Genomic DNA, 27,378 nt, shown 5'->3' with positions numbered 1-27,378 from the left:
TAAAAAGGCTATATTGTGTTTAGGGAGTGTGAGCCTGTAAATCAGGTTGCGCTGGTTCAGCTCTCAGCTCCTTCTGTTGACTGAATGTGTAACCATGAGAGAATTAGAACTCCAATGCTCATTTTCCTTATCTGTAAAAATGATGATAATAGTTCCTTCCGCCTACGGTTGTTTGCAAGATTAGATGAGAAAATGAATATCAAATACTTAGTAGGCTATGATGTTTCCATTTCAATTCGTTGAATATTAAATATGTCATAATCTTATTTTATTCAAATTTAAATCATTTAGATTTGAAATCTGATATAAAAAGTTAATAATGTTTCACTTTTGTGCAAATTTTGATTCAGTGTGAATCTCTGCAAATGAAAATTTTGTTAATAGTTGCCTAATTTCTTTTTCTTTTTCTTTTCTTTTCTTTTCTTTTCTTTTCTTTTCTTTTTTTTTTTTTTTTTTTGAGACGGAGTTTCATTCTGTCACCCAGGCTGGACTGCAGTGGCATAATCTCGGCTCACTGCAACCTCCACCTCCCGGTTCAAGCAATTCTCGTGCCAAAGCTTCCCAAGTAGCTGGGATTACAGGTGCCCACTGCCACGCCTACCTAATTTTTGTATTTTTAGTAGAGACAGAGTTTCACCATGTTGGCCAGGCTGGTCTCAAACTCCTAACCTCAAGTGATCCACCTGCCTCAGCCTCCTAAAGTGCTGGGATTACAGGTGTGAGCCTCCACACCCAGCAATAGTTGCCTAATTTGAAAGCTATTTGAATTGCATGGTAATTCACATGGCAGATGTACTTTGAGCAGTTAATAGAAATATCTACTGACCTTTGATAGGCTTATTCTTGAATGACACATTTTTCAGAACTATGTCCCTTACACTAAATGTTGACTTCATAATACTGTGAAAATTACCTATTTGAGTCTATGGAAAGTATTCATTTACATACCTTATCTGAAGATCACCACCCCCTCCCATTCGAAATAAATGGAGCCCAACCAGGAGTGATTGATATTTTTGTTCTTAAAACTGTAATGTCTTCAGAGAGAGTGCAGTAGGAGATGAAGCTTTATATGATTGGTTTTTTGTATGTAAAATAATGAGAGTTACAAGTTAAACTGTTTCTAATTGTGAAATGGATTAATAGTAATGTTAGATTTAAATGTGGGTTTTTTTCTTCATCAAACCAATAATTTGAAATGAATGTACTTTCAGTCTCTTTCTAAGTTTCATAAGAGTTCCAATCACATTTTGAATACAAAACATAAATATTTGTTTACACTCGTGCCTGTATATAATCATTAAACCAGTTAAACATTTTTAGTGTTTTAATATTTAAGGGTTTAGAACCTGACATCCTAAAATATTTTCTTCTTTTTTTTTTTTTTGAGACAGAGTTTTTGCTCTGTTGCCCAGGCTGGAGTGCAATGGTGCGATCTCGGCTCACTGCAACCTCCATCTCCTGGGTTCAAGTGATTCTCCTGCCTCAGTCTCCCAAGTAGCTGGGATTACAAGCACCCGCCACCACGCCTGGCTAATTTTTGTATTTTTAGTGGAGACGAGGTTTCACCATGTTGGCCAGGCTGGTCTCGAACTCTTGACCTCAGGTAATCCACCCACCTCGGCCTCCCAAAGTGCTAGGATTACAGGCATGAGCCACTGCGCCAGGCCTACTTTTTTCTTTTTTAAAACTTGTAATTTTTTTTCTAGCTTGCTTGTTTCCTTGCTTGCTTTTTTTGTGTGTGTGTGTGTTTGTTTTTTGTTTTGAGACAGGGTCTTGCCTTGTCGCCCAGGCAGGAGTGCAGTGATATGATCATAGCTCACTGCAGCCTTGACCTCTCATGCTCAATTGATCCTCCCACCTCAGCCTCCCAAGTAGCTGGGAGTACAGGCTTACGCCATCATTCCTGGCTAATTTTTGTATTTTTTGTAGAGATAGGGTTTCACCAGGGTTGTTCAGGCTGGTCTCGAACTCCTGGGCCTCCTAGAGTGCTGGAATTAAAGCCAGCCTGGGTGTGAGCCATTGCACCCAGCCAAAACTTTTAATTATGAAATTATTTTAGATTCACAGTAAATTTGCAAAAATATGCAGAAGATTTCTGCATACCCTTCACCCAGTTCCCCTAATGTTAGCATCTTACATAGCTATAGTAGAATGTTTGAAACTAGGCAATAAGAAATACTGAATACTGATATAGTGCTATTAGGTAAAATATAGGCCTTATTTTAAATTTCATTTTTTCCAGTAATGTCTTTTTCTCTATTCTGAATCCCATACTGTAGTTAGTTGCCATGTCTCCTTATCACAAATATTTTAATAATCCTCACCTTATATCTGAGGTACTTCTAGGCTCTAAAGAACAGAAAAAGGAAAAAATTTTGTATTTATGGACTTGCCATTAGATGATAACCACATCTCATTTCCTACTTCATCTGCTTATTCTCCCTTAACCTTTTGTGTTTGCATTGGAGAATGACTATAACGTAGGCCCTTCTTCACTTGAAATATAAAAGTTATTTTGAAAGCAAGCAATGTTTCCTAGAATATACATGTCAGCTCAAAACAAGCATAGGCTATGTTGCCCTATTTTGCTGCCTTGATTAAAACATGTACACACAGTACTATAAGATTTTATTAAATAGTTACTATTAGATCCAGTTTTGAATACATGAGATTAATTTTACTTACACCACAAAAATTTCAAAAGTTCAGAAACTGGTGACATCAGTTAGAAGATTGGAAGACTTTTTTGAAGAACCTGACTTGCTCAAGAAGACTTAAAGAACAAATTGCTTACCTAACAACTTAGAATGAAGGAATCACAAAGTCCCCCAAGCCTCCACTCCACCCACTCAGACTTCCCAAATTTTTTAGCTACCTGCCACCTACCCCCTCAACTCTTAAGTCCTGAATAGACAACCAATGATTACTAGGTACCAGGAAAGCCCACAACTTGGAAGATAGATAACAAAAAGAAACCAAAACAACAACCACCACCACCACGTTACAGGGAGTAGGACCTTTCCCCCACAATTACATTTATATGCTCAGAGAGAGAAGAAATTGTATTAACAGGAATGAAATGCTAGTTTGGGGGATGGGGGTTGAGTTTCAGAAAAGGAAAATGAGTCCTTGAAATTAAAAACATGGCAACAAAATGAAAAACTTTATCTGGCTGACTTGAAGATGAAACTGAAAAAATAAAGGTCTACATCTTTTTCTTTTTTTTTGAGATGGAGTCTTGCTCTGTGGCCTAGGCTAGAGTGCAATGGTGCGATCTCAGCTCATTGCAACCTCTGCCTCCTGGGTTCAAGCAATTCTCCTGCTTCAGCCTCCCAGGTAGCTGGGATTACAGGCGCGCACCACCACGCCCAACTAATTTTTCTATTTTTAGTAGAAACAGGGTTTCACCATGCTGGCCAGGCTGGTCTTGAACTCGTGACCTCAGGTGATCCACCCACCTCAGCCTCCCAAAGTGCTGGGATTACAGGTGTGAGCCGCTCTACCTGGCCTACGGTCTCTTATCCACAATTCCAAAATCCCAAAAGTTCTGAAAATTATATTTTTCATAAGTTTACAACACAACCTATTTCTATCCTTTATAGATTTTGCTAAAGAAATATCACTGTCTCAGATCTCATTGTATGTGGGTGGGATGAGGGGTGGGTATTACATTATGGGTTATATTCTATATTAACTTTCTAAAATTCTAAAAATTCTGATAAGCATTTGGCCGCAAAGGTTTCAGATAAGAGATTAAGGACCTATATCCCAGAAAAATGGAGCAAAAAGGCAGAGATGGGAAATACAAGAGAAGAGATGTGAAAATTAGAGGACCGGTCCAGAAGATCCAATAATACAGCTTCCCGAAAGAAAATGTGTAGCGTGAGAATCATCACCCGATAACACAAGAAAACTTCCAGGACTGAGGACATTAATTTTCATCTTGAAAGAGACCACAGAATTCTCCACAAAGTAGGTGAAAATGAAACAAGTCCACACTGAGGCATATAACTATGGACACTGTTTTAGAACATCAGGTGTATTTGGATAGTCCTACAAGCTGCAAGAGAGAAGAAAAAAGTCACATACAAGGAGATGGGAATCATGCCTTCAGATTTCTCAGCAGCAAGGCTAAAAGCTAGAAGACAATTGAGAGTTATCTTCAAAATTCTGAAGGGATTTTTTTTTCCAACCTATAATTCTGTGACCAGCCAAACTATCATTAAACTGGGATGGTTAAATAGATATTTTCAGCCATGAATCAGATTCTCAAAAAATTTACTGTGCTAAACTGAATTTCCTATTTTGCTTTTTTTCTCTGTTAGCCTCAAAGAGATGAAAATAAGAAATGAAGACTTCTATTGGGGGACGGGGGGGAAGAGGAAAAATAAATATTGAAGAAAGTGGATAATCCATAAATCAAAATATTTCTGAATTCATTAAGAGATTCCTTAGTATCTATATCAGAGTCGTATGTGTTTAATCTTAATCTGATAGACTTGGAAAGTTATACTTAATCTTGTGTCACTCAGAATTCCCTTTAGATTATGACAGAACATTTGTTGACAATGTATAGTTAAAATATTTCCATTGTATCATAGAAGAGTCAGAAAAATCAATCAATTTCCTAGTTAGAAGTATTTTAAAAATTTGAAGTCATCAAAAAAAGAAAACATTTGTAGTCCTCATTTCTAGGATGAGATTCTGAGACTTAAAATTCTAGTTTGCTATTAAGTGTAATTGGTGCCGACCTCCTGTGCAGTGTTGATGGCTAGCTCAGCTGCACCAGGGAAGATGAGTTGTTTGAAGGGTAGATGTATAGGTTTTAGCCATATGATTGCATCAGGCCAGCACTGCCGCTAGTCCTCACTCTAAACTGTCGGTGAACGGACTCCATCCAGCCTCTTCTGTTTTATGCCTTGCCCAGTGGATACGTTAGGTCGGATAATGACCACAAAAGGGAAAACCACAACCTTGGAAAGTTGTTTATATGGTCAGTAAAGGTGCTCAGCAGCTAGCAAGAGAAAATAATGCAGACCAGTGCTGTTGTAGACTGAGATTTTTCTTAGATCAATTTTAACTGTCCACTTTTCACAAAGATAAGACTTAAAAACTTTTATTTCCCTTTTTCTCTCTGATTTATATATTTCAGCAATTAGTAGTCTGTATTGGGATAAATTTAAAGTGAGAATGTCCCAGTTGTGAGATAAGATCTCATTTAAGTACGTTAATATAGTATGACCAATATTTTCTATTCCTATTTCTACTCTGTACAGAAAACCACTTTTAAGTCCCTGTATCAGTTTAGTAGTTCTTTGGCTTTTTTCCTAATTAAATGTCAGCATCCCTTTGCTGGTTTTCTTTTCTCTCCCTTTCCTTTCCCTTTCTCTGCATAGCCTGACCTATTTCTCTTTCCTCAAGGTATAGAACCTAGCCAGGCACAGTGGCTCATGCCTATAATTCTAGCACTTTGGGAGGCTGAGGCAGGCAGATCGCTTGAGCTCAGGAGTTCAAACCAGCCTGGCAACATGGCAAAACCCCATTTCTACAAAAAATATAAAAATTAGTCATGTGTAGTGGCTCGCACCTGTAGTCCCAGCTATTTGGGAGGCTAAGGCAGGAGGATCAGTTGAACCCAGAAGGTGGAGGTTGCAGCGAGCTGAGATTGCCACACTGCACTCCAGCCTGGGCGACAGAGGGAGACCCTTACTCAAAAAAATTTAAAAAGGTATAGAACCCATGTCACCTCTAGTGTAGCCTTCCGTGTCTCTTACCCATGCCTGTCTCCACTCCCGGAGACTCTTGCTGCATGAGATGAGAGTCCTAAGAAGGTAAGAGAGGGGTGGGGTTCGTATGGGTTCTCGTTTCTAATGAGAAGAAGAGAGGATGGGTACAGTGCTAGAAAGGAAGTGATTTCACATATGAAATTGGGCTGCCTAGTTTTGAATTCCTAGTCTGCTGCTTACTGTGTGACCTTGGACAACTAACTGAACATCTCTGCACTTAGCATCTTCCTCTGTCAGTTGGAGATAATGGTAGTACCTGTTTCACAGAGTTATTGTGAGGGTTAAAGAAAATAATATATGTAAAGTACAATATAATGGCTAAGAACATGCACTCCAGGCCAGGCGCTGTGGCTCACGCCTGTAATCCCAGCACTTTGGGAGGCCTAGAGTTAGAAGTCAGGATCCTCGTGACCCTTTGCCAGGGGAACCGTGACTGGTGGGGGCCCCCCAGGGTGCTTCTGGTATCTTGTTTCTTGATCTAATTTGGTGGTTACATGGGTGTACGTTTCATTGTGAATATTCAGCTCTATGCTTATAATTTATGTATTTTTATCTATGTATGTTAAACTTCAATTTAAAAATTGCATTAGATCAGAAGTCTTGAGAATTTAGGAAATGATAGGTCACTTTTTTCTACATGGCAGATCGACTTAGAATTAAAGATTTCATACTTAAAAACAAGGGGGACGGGTGTTCACTACAAGCTGCAAAATTAACCAGTCTTGCTTCTGATCTTAAATTGTGTCTTCAGAGAAGCAAAGAACTATGAAGAGCTACAGATAAGCACCTTGGGCAACATACTTTGAAGTAATCATTAGTTTTCATTTATCCTGCCACTTCACATACACTGTGACAGATTACATGGGCTACATATAAAGTTATATGTAAAAGTGTAATTTGGAGTTTGTGGAATCAGTCTTTTTAACTTTCCTCAGAGTGATACATTGTCATCTTGCAGACCAGATCTGGTGGTTTTAAAGTTTGATTGAAGATAAAGTTTCATGTGATCCAACTGTGAGATGTTAAGAGGCAAGTTTGAAGGTGCTTGAATGAGCATTAGTTGTAATTGATGCTTGTTGCTTTGACTGCGTGTTGGTTTGCTTGATGCTGTTTTAGTAACTTAGTGAGTTTCATCTTTAAATGGGATTTGTGTTACTTAGTCTGCATTGTGCCAAGACTGATAATTGAAAACCGTACACTTTCACAGAACATTGCTTCATAGCTCTTCCCTTTTCTGCTATTTTTATATCACATGAATCATTGCACATTTAAGCCATCTGCAAGGCCTGAATGGAATGAGATAAAAAGCTGCCATCACTTAAATTGACACTTGAAAAGCTGTTATTCATTTGGAGTTTATTCCTGATTATCCTTTATATTTTAAAGTTTCAAACTTCATTTCAAGATGGTTGCCAACATCTCTGAGCCAGAAGTATCTCTGATTCACAGCTTCTTTTAGCCTGAAAGTCAAAGGGAGGGGATGCATCCTGTCACCTAGAAGAATCTGTTGGGGACTCACTTCTATCTCATTTGAGAGAATAAGAACAGCAAGTTCCACTCCTGTTTTAAAAGTATGTTGGTTTAATCAGCTCAGCAAGCCATCGGGTTTGGCATGCACTTCATAGGGAATAGTAAAAACACAAGGCTCTTCGATTGCCAGATGAATACTTCAAAATTGCATGCCTAGAATGTGTCACACCTGTTAGATACTTATCAAAAATTTTCTCAACATAACTTTTTTGAGGATTTAGTGAAAAAAATAATTAGATAAATGCATGCTGGGATGTTGCAAAAGAGATTCATGATTAAAAATGCATATTCAGCCGGGTGTGATGGTGCGTACCTGTAGTGCCAGCCATTCGGGAGGCTGAGGTGGGAGGATCACTTGAACCCAGGAGGTTGAGGCTGCAGTGAGTTTTGATCTCGCTATTATACTTCAGCCTGGGGGACAGAGTGAGACACTGTCTCAATTGAAAAAAATAATAATAAAATAAAAATAAATAAATGCATGTCCACCCTTTGCAAGAGGCCTGGAGTGGGATCGCGCCCTCTGTGGAGTGGGTCGCCACCTCTGTCACGGTCCTCAAACCCTGCCACCGCCCTGGCCTAGGAGCCTGCCCCACCGCAGCGGCCGGCAACGCAGCAATCTGCCGGCGGTGGTCGCGGCCCCCGGGCCCTCTCACGGCAACCAGCTGCGGGCCTCCCGGGGCAAAAGCCCATGGGCCACCACCATGGCCCTCAAGATGGTGAAGGGCATCATCGACTGCATGTTCGACAAGAACCTGCAGGACTTGGTCCGCGGCTTCTAAAACCACAAGGAGGATGAGATTGAAGAAGAATGGGGATAGTGACCACCAAGCATCTGTCTTCATTGAAGGATGCCCATGCAGCCCTTGGGCAGTGGAAGCCTTAGAAAGTCTTCTACCTGAATGACTGCCTGACTGCCTGCCTGCCTCCCTGCGTGGACAGCAAAGGCTGGCCTGAAGGAGAGCAGCTGTCTGATACCGCACCACTCCCAATACCAGAGGCTATGTCGGGCATGAGGTGCCAGGAGGGCAGGGAGGTTAAGGAATTTGCCTGCAGGCACCCAGTCACCCTCAGCCCATGTGCCTCTCCGTGGGAACCTGAGTTCTTGCCTTATTGTTACACTTTTCCAGAAGTGGTGTGACTTCGCCTGCCTCTGGCCTAATGAGATCATTTTTGTTCATCTCCATCCCCTTTCCCTTGGTTTTCAGCATATCAGAAGCTCTCCCTAACTGCTTTGGTGACAATGTGTAACTAACTTATGTACTCTTCAGATTCTTTTGAGTTGAAGGCATAGCTGATTGGCCTGGATTTTATTTTACTGAGCGTGATTCACCAGATTGGAAATGTGGTTTGCTTCCTGGGAGGACTTTTTCTGCACAGGCAGGATCTCCCAGTGCCCGTCCCTGCCCGCTTCAGCGCATGTCACTGAGCAGCCTGTTCTGGCATCCTGAGGACGGGCCACGGGGTCTGTCCAGCAGAGGACCATGCATTGTAGTCTAGGGTGTGGTTTTCAGGGGGGTGTGCCTGTCTTCACTGGGAAGCCCCTGAGCCTGGATTTCTTCCTTTGGAATTGGTGTGAGTTGATAGTGCCTTCCTTACAGGCATGGGCCCATTCAAGCGGGTATTGGTGGTGGAAACATTTTTAGAGTAGTGTGGGGCCGTCCTTGAAAGTTCCAGGCTTCCTTGTGGGCCCTGCTATTGGCCAATCAGTGATTCCATGCAGGACACGTGGTGTCTGGGGGCCCTGGCTTTCTCATCAGAAGACCATCTTTATGGCCCGGAAGGTCATTATTCAGGTGTTCACTTCTGATTCCGGATGTTCTCTGCAGCTGCTGGAGTTTCCTGATTGGAGAACAGCAAATGACTGTTCAATGACCATTCTAGTGGTCACCCCCTCCACGCTGTGCCCCCCCAAACTCGCTTTTGAAAAGCAGCTACCCTGTAGACCTCATGTTGTAGGTTTTTCCCACCCACCACACCCAAAATGCAGACTCTTGGCGTGTGCTTTTTCTGCAGCAGTATAGTTTCAAAAAAAAGTTTTTATTTTGTAATATATTTTCACTTAAAACTTGAGTGTGGCATCATGGAAACAAGGCTTAGCAATGATTTTAAAAGCCACGTGGAAAGGCAGCGTGATTGAGTGGAAATCAGATGAAGTTTGGGAGATCTGAGTCCAGGTGCTCCGACTGGCTTAATGGGGTGGCCCACGGAGAGCTCCCTGTTCTGTCTCCTCCTGTGTAACATGGGAACATGGGATGAGTTGCCTCCCTCCTTGTGGAATGGTGCTGAGGATGCTGCAGCAAAAACGTGGTTTTCTGGAAGCACCAGAGTGCTCAAAGAGGTTGTTTAGTTCACTGTTTTCCGGTCCTCAGGCTGTGACCTCTTAGTGGGTTGTAAATTCAATTTACCGGGTTATGGTAGTTAAGAAAAAGGAAAACAAACTAGAAAATAACAGAGTGCAGGCACATACAGTAGCTGTCCTGTCTTGAAACTTTGATTTCTGCATGTGATTCTTGTGTGCATGTGTGAGCGTATTGGGTTACCATGCACAACCCATTAAAATGAGTGCAAAAAGTAAAAAATTAAAAAATAAATAAATAAATAAATGCATACCCACACTCATTTATACTCTTTAACTGTGGGTATGTGCAAATCTTGCATTTTTATGCTAATTAGCAGATGAGTCAGGGTCTCTAAAGCCTTTTCCAACAGTTAGATTCTCTCAATGCAGTTTGCTCTGGGCTGCAGAAGGTTGGGTTCCCCTGTACTAAAGTTAGCTGGAATTGCATAAGTTAGGGAGGAGAGTACAGATTTGTTTCAGAGTAAGAAGCTTCTTGGCCAGGCACGGTGGCTCACGCCTGTAATCCCAACACTTTGGAAGGCCAAGGCGGGCGGATCACAAGGTCAGGAGATCAAGACCATCCTAGCTAACAGGGTGAAACCCCGTCTCTACCAAAAATACAAAAAATTAGACGGGCGTGGTGGCAGGCACCTATCGTCCCAGCTACTCGGGAGGCTGAGGCAGGAGAATGGCGTGAACCCGGGAAGTGGAGCTTGCAGTGACCCGAGATTGCACCACTGCACTCGAGCCTGGGCGACAGAGCGAGACTCTGTCTCCAAAAAAAAGAAGCTTCTTCAGTTGTTGCTAGGTCTTTCCTCTTCATAAATAATATCATTATAATACTTTGGCAACATAGTAGTAGTAACTCTAGAGCTAATAGAGGGAATGAAATATAAAAATATTTCCTTATTTCATTTCCTTGAGAGAGCCTGAGATCATAGACCAAAAAATGAAGTGACCTCCATAACTAAGTACAACAGACTCTATTTTCAAAATAGAAATATCTTAAAAATAGAAAGTTCTAAGAGTCTAAGAATGAAGGAACTATTTTTGTATCTTCAGATCCTAATGTATCTCCATGTGATCTTGGGCAAGTCACTTAGTACTTCCGTGTTCGTTAGCTCCCATTTTGTTAGCATACTATAAATACTCAAAACACCAACATTTTGTTTGTAGACGGTAGCATTTAGAACATTAATAGCATCTTTGTGTTTTGTTGTTGCTGCTGTTGTTGTTGCTTTTGTCTTTGAAGGGACTACTGTGATTTTTGCTTAAACATACCCTGTTTGGGGATGATTGCTGTGGGGGGATAACTTTAATTATTTTAAAGTAATTGTGTATATTTTTCATTCTTTATTTCTTTGCTTAGCAGACAGAAGGTGGAGCACAGACAGACGGCCAGCAGTCACAGACACAAAGTAGTGAAAATTCAGAGAGTAAATCTACCCCGAAACGGCTGCATGTCTCTAATATTCCTTTCCGCTTCCGGGACCCTGACCTCCGGCAGATGTTTGGGGTAAGTCTCTGAAGTCTTTTTATGGATTTTACAATTAAAGTAGATTTTAATCCCCCAGATGTGTTATTAGTCATTATTACTTTAGGATTAAACTACAAATAGATTGAAAGAACCTGAGGTAAATCAGTCTTTTCATCAGTCTTTAGAAGCCTTTTTCTGTCATCCAGTCTGCTCTAGACATAGTCTTGCAGGTGGCTGCACACATAAGGTGGCGATATGACCCAGCTTGCTGTGACTGAGGGGTTTCTTGTGATGTGAGACTTTCAGTGCTGAAACCAGGATGGTCACCCTACTCACCTACCAAACTCAGTAAACATACCAATAATATGCTTAGTTTCATCTGCAAGAACAAACATGCACATTCTTTTAGAGCAATGATTCCTAAACTTGTTTGCACACTGGAAATTACCTGGGAAGCTTAAAAAATATTGATGCCTATGCCTGACATTCTAGGGTTGTGATTTAATTGGCCTGGAGTGTGGCTTGGGCTTTGGTATGTTTACAAAATCCCCAGCTGATACTAATGTGCACATAAGTTTGGGAACCATTGCTTATTCATCCTGTCGCCTTCTTTGTTTTTTCTTTACCTTCCATATAAGTCCAGCTCAATACTGCCTTCCTCTCCTCTTATCTCCCTCAACTCCAAGACCAAAGAAACTAGGTTCAGGGATGCGTTATTGCCACTCTCTACTTAGCTTTGTAATGTCTAAAAAGATTCACAATGTAGAGAATACAGGTTTAGAGGTGGCTTATTGAAGTGGAAAGAGTATAGATTTTGGAGTCAAAGAGCCTGGGTTCAAATTCTATTCGCATGTGAACTTTGGAATTCATGTAACCTTTTTGAATTTAAATATCATATTTATAAACATAGAGACAGTAATGTCTACCTTTCAGAGTGTTATAAATTAAATGAAATAACATTTGTGAAAACAGTACCTCAGTGTTTTGTTTTTATAATACGTTGTTGCTCATACTGCACAGTGTCAAGACCAATATCTAAAATCATTGTAGAGGATTGGTTTGCTACCTCTGATGTATTCTTTCAACTGTTTATTTCCTCCTGAATCACCATCATGAAAAAAAGTTAAATTGCAAAGATTTGAGTTGTTGGGAAGTTAGTGAATGGCTGCTAAGGATCTTAATTTTTTCTGAGCCTGCTTGTTATTGCTTTTTGAATTTGACCAAACTCTTAACCCAGAGATAATCAATAGTTTTTTTGTTTTTTTTTTTTGTTTGTTTGTTTTCTTTTTTAAATTCCACTAGGATAGCTGCCTGGTACTTTATTAGAAAAGCAGATGCTCTTCTTTAAGTCTTGGTTGTGGCCACTTCACGGTGACAAGACACTGGGGCAAAATTCTGTCATTTATAGCTGACTACTTGGATGTATTTTCCGCACTAAAGAGAAGGCCAGAGTTGAGATTTAATGATGTTCTTGAAGTATTTGAAGAGCTTTTACACAGAAAATGGTAACCAGATATTTTCCATTTTTTCTGAGAAGAGAGCAACAGAAAATAAAGGGCAGCATAAAGGACTTGGGTTACGCAGAAGAAACTTCTCGGGAGCATGAGTTATTAGGTTCTCTACTGAATTATTAGAGCTTATATAAAATCTTAGTCTCTGGAGGTCTGTGAGAATGGAGTACATTCTCATCTGCCAGAAGTGTGTTTTCTCTTGAGTCAGAGAAATAGTGTCCATTGCAGATCTGCCTAGGCCAGTTAGTGACTTCTTGAAATGTATTATGCCCTTCTCATAAGGCATAAAGTGCAAAAGAAATAATTTTTTCCTTACCAGAGATACCTAGTTGCTTTATTTTCTTCCACATTGTGACTCTCTGTTACTTAGAAGAACAGTAACGTTGGTAAAGAGCAGGCATCCATGCTCCATTTCATTAGCTTCATAAACTTGACAAATAGCTTCTTTTAGCCTCATTCGTCTTAACCATAAAAGGAGTGTGATCCTTACTCCAGAAGGATATTATAAGAATGCATTAGAAAATATAAAACAAAACAAACTCCAAAGCACCATACAAATCTTAGTTTTATAGGATAAGCATAAATGCCCTCCCATCTAAAATAAAACATTTTCCTTTTTCCGTGATTCTTCTATTAAACCAAACCAAGATGTCTTACTGTAGAAAACTTGGGTTATTAATACAAGTTTTTTGATAAAGATAGTAGGTGATTCAGTCCAATGGAACAGCATGATTTCTGTTTTGCTCTTTCCATTTTTCAGTTTTTTTTCACATTTCCCAAAGTCTGGTTTGAAACCCAAGTGAAGTAGATAATCAGGTATGACTCCAATACTCAGAGGGAAATATAAGCCAAAAAGATATCTGGAAATTTTCTGCATATACCTTCAATTCATTTCATCCAAGCATTGATTAAAACAGTTTTGTCTCTTTTTATATATACTTTCCCCCTAAATAATCATTGTGTTTTGTGTAACCCTCTAGTCAGCTATTTAGCTACCTAACAGTAGAGTTTAGGCTTCGTGTCTTTAGTTTTTGTTTGCTTTTCTGAATGTTAAAATGTTTAAAGAATTACCAAAGAGAGTGGTTATTTAAAATATTCTTGATGTTATTGTAGAAATATTAAAGTGGTGAATAGCATGTAGCCTATAGAAGTGGTAACACAGTTATATATTGATTCGGATAGTTGTTCACAATCTATTGCTAAGTTAAAAAATAAAAGCAATATATGCTTTGGCAGGCTGAGGCAGGCAGATCACATGAAGTCAGGAGTTCGAGACCAGCCTGGCCAACACGGTGAAACCCCCTCTCTACTAAAAATACAAAAATTAGCTGGACGTGGTGGCAGGCACCTGTAATCACAGCTACTCAAGAGGCTGAGGCAGGAGAATAGCTTGAATCCAGGAGGCAGAGGTTACAGAGAGCCAAGATCGTGCCACTGGACTCCAGCCTGGGTGACAGTTCAAGACTCCATCTTTTTTTTTTTTTAAAGCAAATTATAGAATGCATCTGATGTCTATAGTTACTTATCTCTACATGCCTGAGGGAAAGCCTGGAATGCTGTGTACTAAAGCATTACGATGATAGGATTGCAGATTATCTTTATTTTCTGTTTTCCCTTTTCCTTTTGTTTATATTTTCTGCTTTTTATATAGTGAATATACTTTGCTTGTGTAAAAAAAAGGAGGGTAACAGCCTTCTATAGTATATTATTCTACTTACTAGGATTTGCTTTTTAAATCTGAGACTGTTCTAAAAACTAAGAGATGTAGTTAGGAAAATTCCAGGTTCTTGTCCACATGAAGTATCTAATGGGCTAACACTGTGAATAACTTTGGACAACAGCTTCCACACACACAGGTGGATAAACTGTCAGCTCAGTGACGAGGAAAAATCAGAAACTGGTATTGGAACTTACTAACAAATACAAACATAGAAGTTAAATAAGTAGTTTACTGAAGAAGAAAAATAAACTATTCCCATTTCAGAAGATAACAAAATATGTGGATAAAAACCTGACCATAAGTAAACGTTTTTATTTTTATCTCTGCAGCAGTTTGGCAAAATCCTAGATGTAGAAATAATCTTTAATGAACGTGGCTCTAAGGTAAGCTCCATTTCAGTGTCAAGTGTGCTTGATTTCTTTTTGAGTTTTATGTTATTTTAAATAGCAAGTATTCAGAAAACATAAGCTGTTTTCAAGCCTGCATAAAAGTATCCTAATTATCCACCTTGGTTTAGATTATCTCTAAAAATAAGCTACCACATGGCCAAACTTTATTCTGATACTTATATGGGGGTGGAAGGGTGATGAAGTAAGAAGCAGAGAAGGTTGAGGGAAGAGTGGGACGTAAAGAACACAGGATGTAGGAGATGACAGTGCTTTATGAGCCTTAAATTCGGCCTCAGCTTTCTCCGTTTAAAGGAAAAGTGCAAAGACTAAATAAAGTGAAATTCTATGAGAATTCTATTCTGAATTCTATCAGAACAATTCAACCAAAATCCAACTTCAAAACAGCATACTTAGAACAAATTTAATGTTTTGATTATTCAGTTAACTTGCAGTCTCTTTTGAAAATTGTGACAAGACTTAAACAGAGTGAGCAATAACTGAGGAATTCAGTATGAACTGATTTCCTTAAGTTCTACCCACATAGGCAATCCTCAGGATGTAGAGTCACCTAAATCACAAATACAGTGAGTTAGTTTTTTTTGCATAAGAATGAAAGTAGTAAGTGTGTACTTTTACGTGTGTATTTTCCTCTAAATGTGTTCTATATAAGAACTGAAATTTTTAATTAAAATTTATTTCCCCTATTAGGCTGGGCGCAGTGGCTCACGCCTGTAATCCCAGCACTTTGGGAGGCTGAGGCGGGCGGATCACCTGAGGTCAGGAGTTCGAGACCAGCCTGGCCAACATGGTGAAACTCTGTCTCTGCTAAAAATACAAAAATTAGCCAGGCCTGGTGGCACACGCCTGTAATCCCAGCTACTCGGGAGGCTGAGGCAGGAGAATCACTTGAACCCAGGAGGCAGAGGTTACAGTGAGCCGAGATTGCGCCACTGCACTCCAGCCTGGGTGACAGAGCAAGACTGTCTCAAAAAAAAAAAAAAAATTATTTCCCCTATTTACTATTTTAAATTCCCAATCTGTATGATTTAGAATTTCCATGCATTAAAAGAAACAGCAATGTTTTTAAGAACAAGGGAATGGCAAAGACTTACAGTGGTGTTGTGAAAAAAAAAAAAAGTATTTGATGAACTGAATATTTGCACATGTTACTTGAGAGTTTTCTCACTGCTTATTAAATGAAATACATCCTACTGAAACCATCAGCCATAGCCAAGCCTATAAATATTTACCTTGCTGTTGCTACTTTCATTTGTTAGGTTAGAGCAATTTTTTAGTTAATTTTCATTTGGTCATCTCTGCTGAACTTTGAAAATAGCTTTTGGCTATGGTTAAATCTCTTAAACATGTAATTTGAGGGAAAGCTAAATAAAGCCAATAAATGAGCTAATATTTACCTCTCCAATTTCATACTCCAAATTCACCATACTTTGGGAATTGATAACAGAGTTTATATACCTCCTGTCCCCATCTGTACACTTAAAAATGTATGTGCTGTTCTAATGCTACTTATTATTATTCCCTTCCTTTGTAGAATGTATCAACACTAAAAGTGTTTAATCCTGACTATAACAATTATTTGTTAACTATTAAAGGGGTAATTATACTCTAAGCTTCCAGTTTTCAGTTAAAACAAAAATGATTAATATGCCTATACAGAACTTTCTCCAGCACTTGGTAAGTATTTTTTAAAGTGAAGTCTATTCAGACTGCAACCAGTAAACTATTTATGCTTATAATTTTTCTCACGATGGATTTCTGTTCCTTTGTTGCATTGTTTGTGTTTATTTTATGTGATCTTTTTTAGCTACAAGGTGGGAAAATGACAGTGGTTTAGAGATAAGAAGCACATGAATGTAAAATAAATATGTGGAGATTTTTGGCCACTCTGTAAACTACTATCTGAAGTAGTTTTAAATATTTTTAGTTGTTAAGTGTATGTACTTAAAATATTCTTAACTAGAATCTAACAACTAGAAGGCCAATGTAGTTTCATCAGGCATTGAGGACTTACTCCTTACCAAGAAAATAATTTGTTTGAATTATTGTGAAGCAAAGGAAATTGATCTTTCTTAAGGCTTCTTTCATTGACTTTAAGGATTTGCCTGCTACCAATTCTTTTTCTTTTCTTTTCTTTTCTTTTTTTTTTTTTTTTTTTTGAGGCAGATTCTCGCTCTGTTGCCCAGGCTAAAGTTGCATTGGCACAGTCTTGACTCACTGCAACCTCCGCCTCCTGGGTTCAAGCAATTCTTGTGCCTCAGCTTCCCGAGTAGCTGGGATAACAGGCGCACACTACCACCCCTAGCTAATTTTTGGTATTTTTAGTACAGACAGAGTTTCACCATGTTGGCCAGGCTGGTCTCAAACTCCTGGTCTCAAGTGATCTGCCTGCCTTGGCTTCCCACAGTGCTGGGATTACAGGTGTGAGCCACTGCATCCTGGCCCCACATTTTTTTAAATTTACCTGATCCAATTACTTCTCTCATGTAACTCATTTGAAAGTAATGACATGAGCTTTCTCTTTGAGAAATCTAAAAGCATAGGCTGCTTCTGTCAGCTTGATGCTGTGTCCTCACTGCCCCATTTTTCTTTGGGCTGCTAAAGGGTGCACAGACTGTGTACTAATTGGTAAATGTTTTAAAAACAAAGCATAGAATTCAGAATTGCCCTGAATCTGCCTTCAAGGACTGATACAAAACCTTGTTTTTGTCCTTTGAAGCTTTCTTAACTGCTACCTAAAGTTATTTGCTGGAATGGGTGCCCTTGGAACTGTTCTGAGGCTCCTAATAGAGATTTATTTTGGAATCAAACCCATGGATGCCTCCTCTGGGATCCACCTAAGAGAAATTAATGAGCACTTTTTGTTTTGTGAATTAAGTTTAGTTTCTTAATCCTTTTATATGTTTGGGGTTGACTGTAAAATTACAGCGTATTTTGAAAATAACCAGAGAAAAGGAGGCTTTATATAGTCCTATTGTTTAGCTAAGAGTTCCTCTAACTTTTAAACAGAGTGCTTTTCTGTACAGAAATTAGCTTTATTGAATTTTTTTAGAGCAGTAATGGAAAAACTAGTCACAAAATAACTCTAAGATAGCAATACTTAATGTAAAACAGGGTTTAATCAAATTGTTCCAAAGCAAAAAGCAACTCCATACCATATCTTATTTTGTATAATAAGACCATCACCCAGGGTTTTAGGATATACCCATTTGAAAACATAAGTAAACGGTGTTCCACTGCCATGCTCATGCCCTCCTTGTCTGCCAGTATTCTTCTTTTTCCAGCTTGCCTTTAAAGTAGAATTACTCTATAGTAGTTTTTTCTTAGTTGTTGACTAGTTTTTTCCTTTTTTCCTTCTTTTGCCTTCATATTCTAGATTTGGCTTACTTAGATTATAGAATGAATATATATCATATTTGTGCACACACGTGCATACATATATATTTAAATTATTTCATGTGAATTTTAGTCTTTTTACTCCCTAATCCTTTATAAAAACATAGAATCACCTGTATCTAAGTTTCTTTGATTAACTGAAACAGAGATAGACTAGGCTTTTAAAAATGTACTATTAAGATATATGATGGAAAGTGGTATTCCTGCCAAAAAATTAACTAATTTATTCATATAGAACCTAGAAAATTATTATATGAGTTTATGTAGCTTTGTTAATTCTCCAGATTTCACCAGTAATGACAGATTATTAACACAAATAATAAGATAATGCCTAGAGTGACCATATTTCCTGGCTTATCCAGGCTAGCCTCAATTTACACCTGTTATCTTAGCATAATTATTAATAAATGACCCCTTTCTCTCTCAGAATGTCCCAGTTTGAATGATAAACTATTTACTCTCCTTATATATGCTTTGGGTAACATCTTAAAAAAGCAGTCTTTGAAAAGGAAAACATGATGCTTAATGAAAAGTATAAAGAAAAAAATACATAGTTTATTAAAGAGAAATGTGCACTAGTGATATTCTCATGTATCCTTCTAGTCTTATTTTCTCATATAGAACCTTAAAACATAACCCAAAATGGTCACCTAGTTCAGCCCCCTGTATTCTTGACCTTGCATTCTCTGCTAGAAACTTTTAGTGATTAAGAACTTGTTTTATTCAAAAGTTATTCCATTGTGGGTCAGACTTTCTACCATCTTACTCACCATCATCCAACCACATAACAATTTTTGGTGATAATTATCAAGCTTATTAAATAAAGAAATACACAGATTGTAACATTTACATTTTCTATAAGTTTTTGCCAAAATACTTTGGTATATCCTCTATTGAATGGATATGTATTAAAATATTGAATATGCTGAAGTTGTTCAGCTCTTCAGATAGTGCTCATTATTAAGTCTACTAAAGGACTACAAATATTATACAGCCCAGCAATAATTATTTAGATTTCTAGCAATTTTTTTTCTTTTTTAAAAATTGATAGATATTAGATGTACATATTTTCAGGGTATATGTGATAATCTGATACATTCATATAATCAAATCAGAGTAATTGGGATAGCCATCACCTTAAATATTTATCTTTTCTTTATGCTAGGAACATTCTAATTATTCTAGCAAATGTTTACTTAATGTGTTCTCATTACTTCTCTCAGGTAGATTTCTGGAATAATGGGGATCTAGGTTTAGGTTGGGCTTAAGTTTAGGCTGTAGTTAGGGGAGATAAAACTTCTATTCCCATTCCTTAGACACAAGTAATTTGCTGTAATGTTTTCCCTATTATCATGGCTTTTAATTTCATGCAAAGGGAAATTATTTATTTCTTTCAAAATATTATCAAAATACTTTTTTGGAAGTCACAGTAAGTAGGCCTTTTGACTTTCAGTAAAACTTAATAGGTAATGTCAAAGTGAAATGGTTTTTATTATATTTAAAACAGAATTAACAGTGCATGTGTTTCTGAAGGGCTTAGTTTGTTTTTTTTTTTTCTTTTGTTACCATTATGGGCTTTAGTTTTATATTTTTTTTATTTATTTTTAAATTTCTGTGTTCTGGCCATACCCAGGAGATCTGTCTGCTTTTGATTTCTCCCTTAAAAGTTACATGGTAAATTTTCTTTCTCATTCTTCTGAGATCGAAAAATTCAAAAATTATACAAATTTTAATAATATTTTTACAATGTTCATTCTATTGCTAGTTATTTATTGCAGTCTGAGGCCAGACTAAAAAGGTGACAGTTACTTGGCTCCTATATGTCCTCGATGATGTAAAGGCAGGCTGTGAAATTGCTGTCACACTTTGTAGAAGTTTTAACTACAACCATACACCTAATAAATACACCATTCTTCAATTTCCAGAAGTCAGCTAAGATACCTGGTAAATCACTAATGTAACACTGGTGTGTTTAAATGTTTAATATAGAAGGGCTCTGAGGACTGCAAACTTAGAGGAGTATAAAGTGTAGAGACCTGCATTGCCCAGCACAGTGGTCACATTTAGCACTTGAAATTTGGAGAGTTTAAACGGAGGTGTGCCTGTAAGGGTAAAATGGACACCAGATTTCAGAATTAGCACAAAAAAAGAATGTTAAGCATCTCACTAATAATGTTTTAATATTAATACCATATTGAAATGTTAATAATATGTGTTTATATTGGGTTAAATAAAATACATTGTTAAAATTAATCTCACCTGTTTCTACTTTTTAAATGTGGTTATTAGAAAATTTTAAATTATATATGTGGTTTGTATTATATTTCTGTCTGCAGTGCTAGTGTAGACAAACATGTCAAAATCATTTTTTAATTAAAAATTAAAGTTTACTTTTTTAAAATCTGATTTTATGAATAGAAGTTTAGATAACAAAAATTCTCCATCTGTTTACATAGCTGAAATATTTCCTCTTGTTCAGAATTTGAGATTAAATCTGTTTGTTACAGATTATATAATCTATTTGTTACATATATTATACCGGTGTAGACTGGTTCAGTGTTTGATAGGTTGTATGATCATTTGGAAGCTGTTCTAAGGAAAATACTTTAGATTTAGACATAATTTTACTGACTTTTTTTTCCAAAGCAAGAGATCAGAATGACCAACTTAATGTCAATTCAATTTCTAAGAGTGAAGTGACAAAACATGAGTTCATGTAAGCAGACTTTTCTACTGATAACTTTTAAACCTGGATAATCTGTGAACATCTTTAGCACTGTTTCTGGCACCTTTTCTAAAATGCTAAATTTTATTGAAGAAATAGTATATTCTAAAAATATTTTAAGATCTGAGTTCATGTTACTGAAACTAAATTGTGAATGTGATAGATAAGGAAGCATGTTTGGGTTGATGGAAAATCACCTGTTTAAAGTTTAAACATGAGAGAAAAGTATTTAAGAACAGTACTTCAAAAATTCTAGTCATACCTCTCACTTTCCTAATCATGGACTTTAATTCTAAGAGGTATGTATTAATTCCCTATGACTTCTGAACAGATTACCACAAGTCGGGTGGCTTAAAACCACACATTTATTATCTTACAGCTCTGGAGGTCAGAAGTCCAAAATGGCTCTCACAAGGCTAAAATCAACGTGTTGGGTTCTTCAGGAGGCTCTAAGGGATCATCTGTTTTCTCCCCTTTTCTATCTTCTAGAGGCTGCCCACATTTCTTGGACTATAGCTCCCTTCTGTCTTCAGAGCCAGCAATGGCCAGTCAAGTCTTTCTCAGGCTGCTTTACTCTGATTCGGACTCTCCTGTGTCCGCTTTTCACTTATAAGCACAGTACAGTGGCCACGTTGGAACACTGTATTACATTGGGCCCAACTGGATAATCCAGGATAATCTCTCTATCTCAAGATCATTAACTTAATCGCATCTGCAAAATCCCTTTTGCCGTGTAAGGTAACATATTCACTGGCTCTGGGGATTAGGATGTGGACAACTTTGGGAAGCCATTATTTGGCCTATTGCAAAGTCTGTTTATCTTCAAAGCAAAGAAAGAAATCTTCTTACCTTTATGTTTCATATTAAAGAGTCCCAAAACATCAACAAGGCTTTCTTCCTCCTATCACCCCAGGGAAAAGATGCTTATAAAGATTGCTTTATTTTTATGTTTTTGGTATCTTGATTCGCATTTCCTTTGGTGTATAAGCATCTTTCTTTATAAAACACTTTTAAAACATTTGAAAGTGAAATTTTGTTCCAGAATGTTAGTCATTATTGAGAAAATCTTATCCAAGCAGACATGAATGTTAAACTTTGACATTTGCTGACTGTGAAATTGCAGTGCTCATCATACCACCTTCCATTCTTTTGGATGCAGTTATTGTATCACTAATGTTCTTTCAACACATTTCAGAAAAGAAGGTTATGGAAGATACTTAGCAATTAGATTTGAAAAAAGATAGAAGGATTTTAGGACTAATATAGTTTAGTAAATAGAATACTGAACTGAGATTTGAAAAGGCTTAGAATTTTCTCACCATTAGCTGGATATCCTTGGGTACTTAATCTCAGTTCGACTCAGTTTCTTTACCTTCAAAATGAAACCAATATGTCTATTCTTTTTACTTCATGGTTATATTTAAGAAGAAAAACTAGTATGTATATTTGTATGTGGGTGTGTAGATATAGTCATAATGCTAATATCAAAAACCTAGGTCTTAGTTTTCATATAACTTAATAGTAATCCAACTATTAATTTACAATGTATTAATTTAACCTAAGTCATAAAATATATGACTGTAAGGACCAGTTGAAATACAGCCAAAATGCCCTTAAAGTGTGATATTAAAACTCATCACTCTGTGACCTTTCTTTAAAAGTTTGACTTTCCTATTGGAGGACTCACTAGGATTAGAGAACTGGCAGCTTGTCTTCAGCAGGTGCTAGTGTAGATGACAAATGGTATAACTAATTATTAATGTGCCCTTTTATACCTTGTGGTGTCAAAGTGGCTATAAATGTTGATATCAAAATTTCATTTATAAAAATATGTTCCTGTTGATATTTTCAACAAACTTACACATTCTTTAGGAGAGTATTAACTGAAATTACCAGTAGTATTTCATTCCAAGCAACATACGTTTTAAAATCTCTATCAGCTTAGCATTTTGCTTTCAAGGGTATTTGTGATGTCCAAATTGTGGGTAGAGATCATCCATTGGAATTCTCCAAAACACCACCCACCCACATAATCACTTAGAATGCTGAGTTATCAGATCCTTCAAAACAATGGAGTTGCTTTTATAAAATTTTATTAAGCAACGCGCATTGTTTACCGTGTCAGTTAAGAACATGTTTTATATAGAGAGAATTGTGCTCATGTTATTAAGCAGCTAGGCAGAACTTCAGTTAAAATTAAAGGGTTCTGGGTTATCCTACAGTGGAATATTCAAAAAACGCTAGCAGGACAATGAAGTTATTGGCAAATGAAGACTTTGTAGAAAATCCTAAGACTTTACCACTTTGCAGATATAAGCAGCATGGAAATTATTTGTAAAATTATAGCTGCAGAGTAGAACGATAAGGACAGAGCACCTAGAATGAAGTGAATATGATGTTTTAGGAAAGTCATATAAGTATATAGTAAATGCTCCTGGTGTTAAAATTGGTAGTACGTGAACATCGGAGTGAAGGTAGTCAACTCCCTGGTCTCCTGATTTGTCTACTTAATGAGTTAAAGCTCCACTCCATTTTTATAGTATCTTGCAAGGAACAAACAAATTAATCCTAAGTCATTATACCAGCTGCATTGCTGTTTTCTGATATCCTTTTTCTACTGAATAGTGTACAACTGATGTCACTAATGTAGATCTCATTCCCATTGCCTGTTGACTGTTCCTTTTTTCTCTATATATAGAAAGTTACTACTACCTTTAATAGCAGGTATAAACATCAATAAATGAATAATTTAGGCAAATTTGGGTTAGCAGTTTTCTGAAATTCAGTTGAACATATTTTTACTCTAAGTGTCAATCTGGTCATTTAAAAAGGGCATTGAAGAAAAGTTATAATTGACCACTGCTTAGTGATATTTTTATTTGCTTAGAAGAGCATGAATGCTCTCCTCTCCCACACCCAGTACATAGAAAATTGTACACCGACTATGCCCTAAGTTATCCTGTTCCCAAAGGAATTAATAGTGATAAAAGCAACAGGCAACGTGGGGCTAAAATGATTAGACCTACTTTAAAAAAAATCTCATTATGCAATGTTGAACCTGAATGTCAGATTTCATGTAGCAGTTACTGGAAAATAATAGATTTGGGATGTCAGAGAGTCAATTTAATTAAGTCTTTTTTAGTATTACATAAAGGGGCATGTATATTAAATTAATAACATGAATTGAGAGAGAAAGGTAGGGCATTAAAAAATCTTCAGATTTTTGGTTGAATAGTTTGACCCGAGTAACTCTGTACCTTAATTTTGGTCTGGCCTCATATGCTTTATGTTTTATTTTATTATTGTTACATTGCTGTTAATTATTATTATTATTACAGTTCTTTATTCTTTTATTGGATTTAATTTCCCTTTACAAATATGCATGGACCAAAAATGTGACTTTGGGAGATTATTGCTGAGTTGTTGCTGATGTCAGTTTCATACTATGATATTTTTTCTCTATTTACCAAGAGATCAGTATTTCAATATAACGATGTGCATGTTTTCCCCCCTTCTCCCGCTGCATGCAGGGATTCGGGTTCGTAACTTTCGAGAATAGTGCTGATGCAGACAGGGCCAGGGAGAAATTACACGGCACCGTGGTAGAGGGCCGTAAAATCGAGGTGCATGTCTTTAATAATTCAATTTCTGGTTTATATTTTTATTTCTCTTTTTTCGTGTTGCCTCACTTAGTTCACATTTGGAACCCTGTCTTATGTGTGCGTGTGCACATGTATGTGTGTTTGTATCTCTGTCTTCTTCACCTTCTTGCACTAAAATGTATAAAAGTAACACTTCTATCTGCCTCCCTCCTCATTTATTGGTTGTTTGGGGGTTTTAATTTTGACTGTGTGTGTGTGCGTGTGTGTGTGTTTGTTTTTCATTTATGTTTTTCCTTCAAAATGTTGATCTTTCTGCTCTCTTGATTTTTTTCCTTTGCTTCAGTTTGCAATACTCTGAATTCCTGTGATCAGGCCTAAGCAAAACTAATGTTAAATTGTCTAAAAACTATCCAGTTTATAACACTGTGTTCTATAATGAATCAAGGGGCCAGCCAATATCCTCTCTCTTGGGAGGCCAGTTCGCCTCTTTGTGCACATGATAAGCACGAAATAGAAGATTCTAGAGATTGTGGGGAGGGAGGAAATAATCCAAAACTCGTGTAGTTTTTAAATATATCTAATACCAAGAATTTTGGTATCTAAATTTTTATGGATAAAATTCTTAAACAGAGGGTATGATGGCTGGCTGGCGAATGTACTGTGATTATGACCAAGTCTACCGCCTGGTATTCACCAGCCCTTTTTGATAACACATCGAAGGTTAACTGGCTCCTTTCCCCTTTCCCAATTTTTTAAAGTATTAAATGTAAAAGCCACCATTTTGAGTAAGATGTCTGCATATTTTGCTTTTTTTCCCCTCCTTTCCAATGGTTTAGCATTTAGGGCCCTTCACTTGACTCACTCTTTCCATGGTAACTATACACAATGCTGGCGATGGTGCCCGTTGGCGGTAAGTGAACAAAAGCACTAGAGAAGAAGCTTTTAAAAATGTAATTACAAAACAATTAAATAAGAAAGAAAAAGTCCATCTGCCATCTCACATTAACACTACAAAATGTGATTTGACTTGTTGTTCCTCTTCCTTTTCCTTTCCCCCTTTTATTTTCAATGCTGTTGAGTAATGCCGCCTGGATTTTGGATGTACATATTGTTTTGTAGCGGTCTGAGCTGTTTGATTACTGACTTCATGGTGATTTTTTTCCCCTTGCACATCTTACTCAGAGTTACTGAACTCCAGTTTGGCTGGTTTTATTAATGCACTTCCTGCCCCTACATCCTTCCCTACTTTTCCTGTTTCCCAAACCCCCGTTTGTAGCTCTGACTGTTCTTTCTTTGCCCGTTACACCCTTCCTGACTTTCTCTTTTCTTTTTCCCTACCTTACTCTCTTTTTCCGGATCCTTGTTCCTGTCCCTTTCCCTATTCTTCCTTTCCCATCCCTTCAGTTACACGCAGCTGTTGGTCTCTTTTGCTGACTGGTGGTTTCTGATTGGTTCTGGCCATTTTTCCTTTTAAGTGCTTGGTTGCTTTCTGCTCCAGCAGCTGGTTTCAGCTCTTGCTCCATTCTAATCCTTGTCTGTGAGAACCTTGCTTTTCAGTTTCTCCCCTCTTTCCAAAATTGATTGTTTTTTCTTTCTTTTATTTGTGTGTGTGTGTTTTTTAACTGCATGCTCTCAGTCTCATCATTGTTGTATCCCATTCTTTCTTTTTAAATGTGAAACGTTTATATTATTTGGTGGGCGAAGCTAGAGTAAATGGAGTTTCAAGCTCTTTCCTCATATGGGGGATTATCACTGTACAAATCTTAAAAGACATAGGAAGAGGTTTTTTTTTTAGTTCTAATTCTACCTAAAATTGGTCTTTTCATAACAAAAATTTATTACCATACAAATTGAACACAATGTAAATTTGAAGAGGCAAAAATAAGACATTTATATTTTATGCTTCTTTTTTCAATTGGCATGTTTTATGACCTGACAACACAGTATAAGTCAAGTTCTATGGTGGAGCTTTACCCTCCTTGCAAGAGCTTTGAGACTGGTTCTGTCACTGGGCTGCAGTATGCTGACATCTTAGTTCCATTCATCTTTTCTTCAGCAGCAGCATCTTTGTAACACCTACTTACTCTAGCACTGAGAATGCTTTAAAATATGCAGTTCTGTAATGAGGGTGGAGAGTACCATAAAACAAAATAAATAAACACTTTATTTTCTCAATTCTTTTAAGTGCCTACTTTAAAGGCTTTCTTAAAAGCTTTGTTCTTAAATTGATAGACCATGTAGTCTAGAAAATTCAGAATGGTCCTGAAGGCTGTCAGCAGGGGAATCTTAGGTTTCTATATTTGTTTACTTACCTCAGACAGTAAAAATCTCTGACAGACATATTTAAAATGCTGAACATTAGGACAGGTGAAATCAGATTTATTTTATCACCTTTCCATCAATCTATTTCATAACCCATGTGGCAAGCCTCTGTTTTATTAACAGACTTCAAAGTGAATTGCTAATATAGTTTCCTATTTACTTTTTTCTGTGTTTTCCTTAGTGCAGAGATTTCTCTGTTAAAAAGATGTCCAAAGATCTTGCAAATGTATTTTCTTTGGAGTACTGATATTTGGAAACCAAGAAACTCACTTTACTCTTGTTATCCTCATTTGATAAGAACTTTAATTAAAATACTATATATTAATATTTTATATTGCTGTGTTAATTATTTAAATCACTGCTCTCAGAAATTTACATTTTAAACTAAATACTCTGTTATTGGATGTGCAACTTTATGTTCCCTAATGTGGTCCACTTCTTCCCTGCCCTTTTTTCTCCTTGTTATTTTTAGGTGAATAATGCTACAGCACGTGTAATGACCAATAAGAAGATGGTCACACCATATGCAAATGGTAAGAAATTATAATCTTCGAAAGAGTG

At 37.3% G+C, this 27,378-nt stretch overlaps 1 protein-coding gene across 57 annotated transcripts in view; it reads left to right on the top strand.

Moving 5' to 3' along the window:
- RBFOX2 (RNA binding fox-1 homolog 2) overlaps positions 1 to 27,378 on the top strand; it is a 290,089-nt gene that overhangs the window by 236,052 nt on the left and 26,659 nt on the right. For 26 of the 57 annotated variants that reach the window (NM_001394115.1, NM_001394113.1, XM_005261429.3 and 23 more), the window contains 4 exons: positions 11,030 to 11,173; positions 14,695 to 14,748; positions 24,424 to 24,516; positions 27,290 to 27,350. In NM_001394115.1, coding sequence (NP_001381044.1) covers positions 11,030 to 11,173; positions 14,695 to 14,748; positions 24,424 to 24,516; positions 27,290 to 27,350 — 352 coding nt within the window. Of the gene's footprint in view, positions 1 to 11,026; positions 11,174 to 14,694; positions 14,749 to 24,423; positions 24,517 to 27,289; positions 27,351 to 27,378 lie in introns of all 57 variants that reach the window. The other 31 variants (NM_001394114.1, XM_005261430.3, NM_001349999.2 and 28 more) reach the window with 5 other exon arrangements.

Source organism: Homo sapiens, chromosome 22 (genome assembly GCF_000001405.40).
Source record: "Homo sapiens chromosome 22, GRCh38.p14 Primary Assembly".
Lineage (NCBI taxonomy): Eukaryota > Metazoa > Chordata > Mammalia > Primates > Hominidae > Homo > Homo sapiens.
The sequence above is the reverse complement of the archived record's forward strand: the minus strand, read 5'-3'. Positions and strand labels throughout refer to the sequence as shown.